Source organism: Homo sapiens, chromosome 9 (assembly GCF_000001405.40).
Source record: "Homo sapiens chromosome 9, GRCh38.p14 Primary Assembly".
Lineage (NCBI taxonomy): Eukaryota > Metazoa > Chordata > Mammalia > Primates > Hominidae > Homo > Homo sapiens.
In genome coordinates, this window is record NC_000009.12 from 2,506,812 (window position 1) to 2,517,244 (window position 10,433).

Here is a 10,433-nt window from a genome sequence, read left to right on the forward strand (position 1 = left end):
GTCTCTTTACCTAAACTCTTTATGGCATTTTAAGCTTCTTGGACAAGATTTTCTATTTAATGGGAAATATCACTAAGTTCCATATCACTGGCTGTACATTTAAAGAACTGCTGCATTCAAACAACCAAAATCGTTAAGGCACACTGCTATTTTTATCAGGGATAAGGTCAGAGCATTTATTATAATTAAACAAAAGAGCAGAAGGAAGGAAGAGTAGTGGTTTGCCGGAGACAAATTAGAACCACCTGGGAGGTGTTTAAAAGTCCCAAGGGTCAGGCCACACCTCAGATCAATTAAATCAGTATCTCACGGCTGATACCCAGGCATTATAAGTTTTTAAAAATAAATGCTTTGGCGGCGCGCGGTGGCTCACGCCTGTAATCCCAGCACTTTGGGAGGCCGAGGCGGGCGGATCACGAGGTCAGGAGATCGAGACCATCCTGGCTAACACGGTGAAACCCCGTCTCTACTAAAAATACAAAAAATTAGCCTGGCGCGGTGGCGGGCGCCTGTAGTTCCAGCTACTCGGGAGGCTGAGGCAGGAGAATGGCGTGAACCCGGGAGGCGGAGCCTGCAGTGAGCCGAGATCGCGCCACTGCACTCCAGCCTGGGCGACAGAGCGAGACTCCGTCTCAAAAAAAAAAAAAAAAAAATGCTTTATTTTAGAACAGTTTTAAGTTTACAGAAAAATTGAAAAGGTAATAATGAAGTTTCCATATATGCCACATCCATTTCCCCTACTAATAACACCTTATATGAGCATGGTACATTTCCTGCAATTAATGAGCCAATACTGATACCTTATCATTAACTAAAGTCTATAGTTCATTCATGTGTCCTTAGATTTTCCCTAATATCCTTTTTCCTTTTCCAAGATTCCATCTGGAATACTCCCGTACATTTGCTTATCATGACATTTTAGGTTCTTCTTGGCTGTAACAGTTCTCAGATTTTCCTTGTTTCTGATGACCTTGACTTTTTTGAGGAATACTGGTCGGATATTTTGTAGAATGTCCCTCAGTTGGGGTTTGTCTGATGTTTTTCTCATTATTAGACTGGGATTATGTGTTTTTGGGTAGAATACCATAGAGGTAAAGTGCCATTCTCATCACATCTGATCAAGGGCACATACTATCAACATGTCATTGATGTTAACCTTGATCACCTGGCTAAAGTAATCTATGTCAGGTTTCTTTAGTATAAAGTTACTCTTTTTTCCCCCTTTCCATATTGTACTTTTTGGAATAAAGTGACTATGTTTAACCCACACTTAAGGAATGGGGGAGTTATATTCTACTTCCTTGAGAGCAGAATATCCACATAAATTAGAAGTATTTAGCACAGGAAATTTGCCTATTCTTCATTTATTTATTTATTCAATAATGTACTCACATCAGCATGGATGTATATATATTTATTTCATGTTTTGGGTATAAATTCAATATTAAAGTATTGTATCTATTTTGTTGCTCAAATGTTCCAGCTTTGGCTACCGGTAGTTCTTCTAGTTGGCTCTATGACCCTTTGACATATCCCCTTTGTTTTGTGTGTGTGCATGTGTGTGAGGGTTTTTTCTTCCTGGAACTTCCTTACTTTTTGGCATACAAGACGCTCCATGCACACCTTCTATATTTTCTTCTGTCATCCTAGAATCAGCCAGTTATCCAAGTTGTGGTTCATTTAGTTGGAGAATAATATTAGAAACCAAGATCTTGGTGCTAGGTATACTCATTGCTACTGGGGTGTCATTAACTCTACACCCTCTCAGCTGACACAGCAAGGAAATATGTGTGCATTTACTAACCCATATCTATATAAATACACATATCTATAAATATTTCTATATGTAACCATCAATATCTCTATTAAGCTAATAGGAGTTGATATGATGTCTTCAACTGTTATCCATTACCTCGTAGATGATTCCAGCCTCCTCCTTTTGCTTATCTGTAACCTCCCACACCAACAGCGAGAAACTTAGCTCTCACCATTGTCCATCTATTTACTTAACTGCTCAATTCCAGTATGCATGTATAGCAGAGTCAGAATTGCTAACCTGTACTTCCACAGGAAACAACTTTATCAGCTAGGGTAGCATGCTTATGTTATAGGCTCCTTTATAGCCTTTAGTCTCACAGTCTCCATTCATTTCTAAAGTTGTTTAGGTCAACACCATCTTTCCTTCACACTCCTCAGTGAGGTTGTTTTAATACATTTGTAATACAGTTAGCTTATTTTGTCATAATTTTGCATTTCATCTTGGAAACCTCCAATCCCCTAAATGATTTGTTAAAGATTCGCATACATTAAAGTTCACTCTTTGTGTTATAAAGTTCTATAGGTTTTGACAAATGCATAAAGTTATATAACCATGATTACAGTGTTATATAGAATAGCTTCACTGTCCTAAATAATCTGCTGTGCTTCACTTATTCAACCCTCTCCCCCTTTCCGTAAGCCCCTGGAAACCACTAATCTTTCTATTATCTCTATAGTTTTGCCTTTTTCAGAATGTCATTGAATTTCAATCATATTTTCAGAATGTCATTGAATTTGAATCATATAATGTGTAGCCTTATCATACCGGCTTCTTTCACTTAGCAATATGTACTTAAGATTCGTCTATATCTTTTTGTGGCTTGATAGTTCATTTTCTTTTACTGCTGAATAATATTCCATTGTGTTGATATGCCGCAGTTTGTCCATTCATGTACTGAAGGACATCTTGGTTGCTTCCATCCATAATTTTAGCAATTATGAAGAAAACTGCTATAAACGTTCACATACAGGTTTTTGTATGGATATAAGTTTTCAAGTCAATAACTTAGTTTTCACATTAGTAAAAATATTTGATTACTAGACAGTATGTTAAGACTGTCAGGCCTCTGAGCCCAAGCTAAGCCATCATATCCCCTGTGACCTGCAGGTATACATCCAGAAGGCCTGAAGTAACTGAAGAACCACAAAAGAAAGCCAGTTCCTGCCTTAACCGATGACATCTCTCCATTGTGATTTGTTCCTGCCCCACCCTAACTGATCAATCGACCTTGTGACATTCCTTCCCTGGACAATGAGTCTCATGATCTCCCCACCCTGCACCTTGTGACCTCCACTTCTGCCCAAAAGAGATAACCACGTTTAACTGTGCTTTTCCACTGCCTACCCAAATCCTATAAAACTGCCCCGCCCCTATTCTCCCTTTGCTGACTCCTTTTTCGTACTCAGCCCGCCTGCACCCAGGTGATTAAAAAGCTTTATTGCTCACACAAAGCCTGTTTGGTGGTCTCTTCACACAGACTCATGTAACATTTGGTGCCAAAGACCCGGGACAGGGGGACTCCTTCGGGAGACCAGTGCCCTGTCCTTGCCCTCTCTCCTTGAGGAGATCCACCTACAACCTTGGGTCCTCAGACCAGCCCAAGGAACATCTCACCAATTTTAAATTGGGTAAGCAGCCTCGTTTTATTCTCTTCTCCAACCTCTCTGGCTATGCCTCCACCTTTCAATCTCTCCCTTAATTTCGGTTCCTTTCCCTTTCTGGTAGAGACAGAGGAGATGCATTTTATCCGTGAACTCAAAACTCTGGTGCCGGTCATGGACTTGGGAAGACAGTCTTCCCTTGGTGTCTAATCACTGCTGGAACACCTGCCTGATTATTCACCACATTCTAGAGGTGTCTGATCACGGCGGGGATGCCTGCCTTGATCCTTCACCTTGGTGGCAAGTGCCACCTGCCCTTGGTGTCAGGTACCACCTCCCCCTGGTGGCAACTACCACCTCCCCTCTCTCCGTGTCTCTACCCTCTCTTTTTTCTAAACTTGCCTTTTTACTATGGGCAACCTTCCACTCTCCATTCCTCCTTCTTCTCCCTTAGCCTGTGTTCTAAAACACTTAAAACCTCTTCAACTTTCATCTGACCTAAAACCTAAGAGTCTTATTTTCTTCTGCAACACCGCTTGGCCCCAATACAAACTTGGCAATGGTTCTAAATGGCCAGAAAATGGCACTTTTGATTTCTCCATCCTACAAGATCTAGATAATTTTTGTCGAAAAATGTGCAAATGGTCTGAGGTGCCTGATGTCCAGGCATTCTTTACACATTTGTCCCTCCCTAGTCTCTGCTCCCAATGCCACTCATCCCAAATCTTTCTTCTTTCTCTCCTGTCTGTTCCTTCAGTCTTCACCCCAAGCTCTGAGTCCTTTGAATCCTCCTTTTCTATGGACCCATCTAACCTCTCTCCTCCTCCCCAGGCTGCTCCTCACCAGGCCAAGCCAGGTCCCAATTCTTCCTCAGCCTCAGCTCCCCCACCCTATAATCCTTCTATCACCTCCCCACCTCACACCTGGTCCGGCTTACAGTTTCATTCTGTGACTAGCCCTCCCCCACCTGCCCAACAATTTCTTCTTAGGTGGCTGGAGCTGAAGGCATAGTCAAGGTTAATGCTCCTTTTTTTTTTTTTTTTTTTTTTTAGCCGACCTCTCCCAAATCAGTTGGTTTTTAGGCTCTTTTTAATCAAATATAAAAACCCAGCCCAGTCCATGGTCCATTTGGCAACAACCCTTAGATGCTTTACCACCCTAGACCCATAGGGTCCAGAAGGTCATCTTATTCTCAATATGCATTTTATTACCCAATCTGCTCCCAACATTAGAAAAACCTCCAAAAATTAGATTCCAGCCCTCATACCCCACAACAGGACTTAATTAACCTCGCCTTCAAGGTGTACAATAACAGAGAAGAGGCAGCCAAGCGGCAACATATTTCTGAGTTGCAATTACTTGCCTCCACTGTGAGACAAACCCCAACCACTCTCCAGCACATAAGAACTTCAAAATGCCTAAACCGCAGTAGCCAGGTGTTCCTCCAGGACCTCCTCCCACAGGATCTTGCTTCAAGTGCTGGAAATCTGGTCACTGGGACAAGGAATGCCCACAGCCCAGGATTCCCCTTAAGCTGTATCCCATGTGTGCAGGACCCCACTGGAAATCAGACTGTCCAACTTGCCCAGCAGCCACTCCCAGAGCCACTGGAACTCTGGCCCAAGGGTCTCTGACTGACTCCTTCCCAGATCTTTTTTGCTTAGTGGCTGAAGACTGACACTGCCCAATTGCCTCGGAAGGCTTCTGGACCATCACTGACGCTTTGGGTAAATCTTATATTGGAGGGTAAGTCTGTCCCCTTCTTAATCAATATGGAAGCTACCCACTGCACATTACCTTCTTTTCAAGGGCCTGTTTCCCTTGCCTCCATAACTGTTGTGGATATTGATGGCCAAGTTTCTAAACCTCTTAAAACTCCCCAACTTTGGTGCCAACTTGGACAACATTCTTTTATGCACTCCTTTTTAGTTATCCCCACCTGCCCAGTTCCTTTATTAGGTTGAGAGGTTTTAACAAAATTATCCTCTACCCTGACTATTCCTGGACTACAGCCACATCTATTGCTGCCCTTCTCCCCAAACCAAAGCCTCCTTCATGTCTTCCTCTTGTATCCCCCTACCTTAACCCACAAGTATGGGATGCCTCTACTCCCTCCCTGGCAACCGATCACACACCCATTACTATCCCATTAAAACTTGATTACCTTTACCCTGCTCAATGCCAGTACCCCATCCCACAACAGGCTTTAAGGGGACTAAAGCCTGTTATCATTCGCCTGCTGCAGCATGGCCTTCTAAAGCCTATAAACTCCCTTTACAATTCCCCCATTTTACCTGTCCAAAAACCAGACAAGTCTTACAGGTTAGTTCAGAATCTGTGCCTTATCAACCAAATTGTTTTTCCTATCCACCCTGTGGTGCCCAACCTGTACACTCTTTTGTCCTCAATACCTTCCTCCACAACTCACTATTCTGTTCTTGATATTAAAGATGCTTTTTTCACTATTCCCCTGCACCCCTCATCCCAGCTTTTACCTCGTCTTTGCTTTTACCTGGACTGAACCTGACACCCATCAGTCCCAGCAGCTTACCTGGGCTGTACTGCCACAAGGCTTCAGGGACAGCCCTCATTACTTCAGCCAAGCTCTTTCTCATGATTTACTTTCTTTCTACCCCTCTGCTTCTCGCCTTATTCAATATTTTGATGATCTTCTTCTTTGCAGCCCCTCTTACTAATCTTCCCAGCAAGACACTATCCTGCTTCTTCAACATCTCTACTCAAAGAGGTACCAAGTATCCCCCTCCAAGGAACAAATGTCATCCCCTGGCGTTACCTATTTCGGTATAATCCTCCAACAACATACACGTGCCCTTCCTGCAGACCATGTTCAGTTAATCTCCCAGACCCCAATCCCCATCACCAAACAACAACTCCTTTCCTTCTTAGGCATTGTTAAATATTTCTGACTCTGGATACCAGGCTTTGCTATCCTAACCAAAACCACTTTACAAGCTCACAAAGGGTAACTTAACTGATCCCATAGACCCTAAGTCTTTTCCCCATTCTTCCTTTTGCTCTCTCTCAAAAAGGCCCCGGAGACAGCTCCCACACTAGCACTCCCCAACTCATCCCAAACTTTTTCCTTACACACAGCTGAAATACAAGGCTGTGCTGCTGGAGTCCTCACACAGGAGCCAAGCCCATGACCTGTTGTCTTTCTATCAAAACAACTTGACCTCACAGTTCTAGGCTGGCCCTCATGTCTGTGTGGGGCAGCAGCCACCACTTTAATACTTCTAGAGGCCCTCAAAATCACAAGCTATGCTCCACTTACCCTCTACAGTTCTCACAATCTTCAAGCATTAATATCCTTCTCATACCTTTCACATTTATTGTCTGCCCCTCAACTCCTCCAGCTCTATTCACTCTTTGTTAAAACTCCAACAGTAACTATTACCCATGGGCCTGATTTCAGCCCAGCTTCTCACTTAGCACCCAACACAAGTCCTGAATCACATGACTGTATTTCTTTAATACACATAGCATCTTCCCCTTTTCCTCATATTTCTACTCTTCCAATTCCAAACACAGACCACACTTAGTTAATCTATGGCAATTCTTCTAAACTCAATCAATTTTCACCAGCTAAAGCTGGATATGCTGTCATGTCCCATACCTCTATTATCGAAGCTGCTGCACTTCCTCCCTCCACTACTTCCCAACAAGCCGAACTGATTGCTTTAACTCATGTGCTCTCTCTCGCTAAAGGAATGCACATTAACATTTACACTGACTCCAAATATGCTTTCCACATCCTCCATAAACATGCTGCCATTTGGGCTAAAAGAGGTTTTCTCACCACACAAGGCTCTTCCATTATCAATGCCTCCCTAATAAAGGCCCTCCTTAAGGCTGCTCTTCTGCCAGCCGAGGCTGGAATCATTCATTATAAAGGACACCAGAAACCTACTGATCTTATTGCAAAGGGAAATGCCTACGCTGACAGGACAGCTAAAAAAAAAAAAAAAAAAAAAAAAAGCCAATTCCTCCACACCCACTAATATTTCAGCCCCCACTCCAGAGGGCCAGTATTTTTCTTTCTCCTCTATCATTCCCACCTACTCTTCTTCTGAAAACCTGCTCTACCAGTCTTTTCCAACTCAGGACAAGTGGTTCTTAGATCATGGAAAATTCATTCTTCCTGCCTCACAAGCTCAGTCCATTCTTTCTTACCTTCATGACCACTGCCACGTGGGATACAAGCCTCTGGCTTGCCCTTCTGCAGCCCTTCATCCCCTTCCCTTCATGGAAATCCATCCTTAAGACCTTCACCTCTCAATGCTCTGTCTGCCACGCCAGCAGCCCCCAAGGCTTTCTCAGGCCTCCTCCTTTTCCTACACATCAGGCCCATGGATTTACTCCAACACAAGATTGGCAGATTGACTTTACTCCTATGCCCCATGTCCATAAATTTAAGTATCTCCTGGTTCAGTCGACAACTTCAACAGATAGGTCAAGGCCTTTCCCACTAGCTCCAAAAAGGCTACTGCAGTCATCTCTTCCCTTCTAACAGATATGATTCCCTGATTTGGCCTCCCTTCTTCTATTCAATCTGACAATGGTCTGGCTTTTATTAGTCAAATCACCCAAGCAGTTTCTCAGGCTCTTGGTATTCAGTGAAACCTTCATACCGCTTACCGTCCTCAATCTTCAGGAAAGGTAGAACAGACTAATGGTCTTTTAAAAACACACCACACCAAGCTCAGCCTCCAACTTAAAAAGGAAAACTCTGTATATTTTTAAATGAAGAGTGTTGTTTTTACCTAAATCAATCTGGCCTGGTATATGACAACATAAAAAAAAAAAAAAAAACTCAAGGGCAGAGCCCAAAAACTCACCAACCAAGCAAATAATTACACTGAACCCCCTTAGGCACTCTCTAATTGGATGTCTTGGGACCACCCAATTCTTAGTCCTTTAATACCTGTTTTTCTCCTTCTCTTATTCGGGCCTTGTGTCTTCCGTTTAGTTTCTCAATTCATACAAAACTGCATCTAGGCCATCATCAATCATTCTATACAACAAATGCTCCTTCTAACAACCCTACGATATCACCCCTTACCATAAAATCTTTCTTCAGTTTAATCTCTCCCACTCTAGGTTCCCATGCTGCCCCTAATCCCACTCGAAACAGCCCTGGGAAACATCGCCCTTTCTCTCTCCATACCACCCCCAAGAATTTTCACTGCCTCAACACTTCACCACTATTTTATTTTGTTTTTCTTATTAATATAAGAAGACAGGAATGTCAGGCCTCTGAGCCCAAGCTAAGCCATCATATCCCCTGTGACCTGCCTTATAGTAAGTCTTGAAGTCAGGTAGTGTGACTCCTCCAATTTTGTTCTCCTTCTTTATTATTGTGACAGGTTTTTTTTTTTGTTTTTTTTTTTTTTTAGTATACTTTAAGTTCCGGGATTCATGTGCAGAACGTGCAGGTTTGTTACATAGGTATACTTGTGCCGTGGCAGTTTGCTGCACCCAACTACCCATCATCTACATTAGGTATTTCTTCTAATGCTATCCCTCCCCTAGCCCCACACCCCTGACAGGCCCCGGTGTGTGATGTTCCCCTCCCTGTGTCCAAATGTTCTCATTGTTCAACTCCCACTTATGAGTGAGAACATGCGGTGTTTGGTTTTCTGTTCCTGTGTCAGTTTGCTGAGAATGATGGTTTCCAGCTTCATCCATGTCTCTGCAAAGGACATAAACTCATCATTTTTTATGGCTGCATAGTATTCCATGGTGTATATGTGCCACATTTTCTTTTTCTTTCTTTTTTTTTTTCACAAGACAAAAATCCACTTCACATTTTCTTTATCCAGTCTATCACTGATGGGCATTTGGGTTGGTTCCAAGTCTTTTTTGCTATTGTGAATAGTGCTGCAATAAATATACATGTGCATGTGTCTTTGTAGTAGAATGATTTATAATCCTTTGGGTATATACCCAGTAATAGGATTGCTGGGTCAAATGGTATTTCTGGTTCTAGATCCTTGAGGAATTGCCACACTGTCTTCCACAATGGCTGAACTAATTTACACTCCCACCAACAGTGTAAAAGCATTCCTATTTCTCCACATCCCCTCCAGGATCTGTTGTTTCCTGATTTTTTAATGATCGCCATTCTAACTGGTATGAGATGGTATCTCATTATGGTTTTGATTTGCATTTCTCTAATGATCAGTGATGATGAGCTTTTTTTTTTTTTCATATATTTGTTGGCTGCATAAATGTCTTCTTTTGAGAAGTGCCTGTTCATATCCTTCACCCACTTTTTGATGGGACTGTTTGTTTTCTTCTCGTAAATTTGTTTATTTGTAGATTCTGGATATTAGCCCTTTGTCAGATGTATAGATTGCAAAAATTTTCTCCCATCCTGTAGGTTGCTTGCTGACTCCAGTGATAGTTTCTTTTGCTGTGCAGAAGTTCTTTAGTTTAATTAGATCCCAGTTGTCAATTTTGGCTTTTGTTGCAATTGCTTTTGGTGTTTTAGTCTTTGCCCATGTCTATGTCCTGAATGGGATTGTCTAGGTTTTCTTCTGGGTATTTAGGGTTTTAGGTCTTATGTTTAAGTCTTTAATCCATCTTGAGTTAATTTTTGTATAAGGTGTAAGAAAGGGGTCCAGTTTCTGTTTTCTGCATATGGCTAGCCAGTTTTCTCAACACCATTTATTAAATAGGGAATCCTTTCTCCATTGCTTGTTTTTGTCAGGTTTGTCAAAGAGCCGATGGTTGTAGATGTATGGCATTATTTCTGAGGCCTCTGTTCTGTTCCATTGGTCTATACATCTGTTTTGGTACCAGTACCATGCTGTTGTGGTTACTCTAGCCATGTAGTATAATTTGAAGTCAGGTAGCATGATGCCTCCAACTTTGTCCTTTTGCTTACGATTGTCTTGGCTATATGACTCTTCTTTGATTCCATATGAAATTTAAAGTAGATTTTTCTAATTCTGTGAAGAAAGTCAATGGCAACTTGATGGGATAGCATT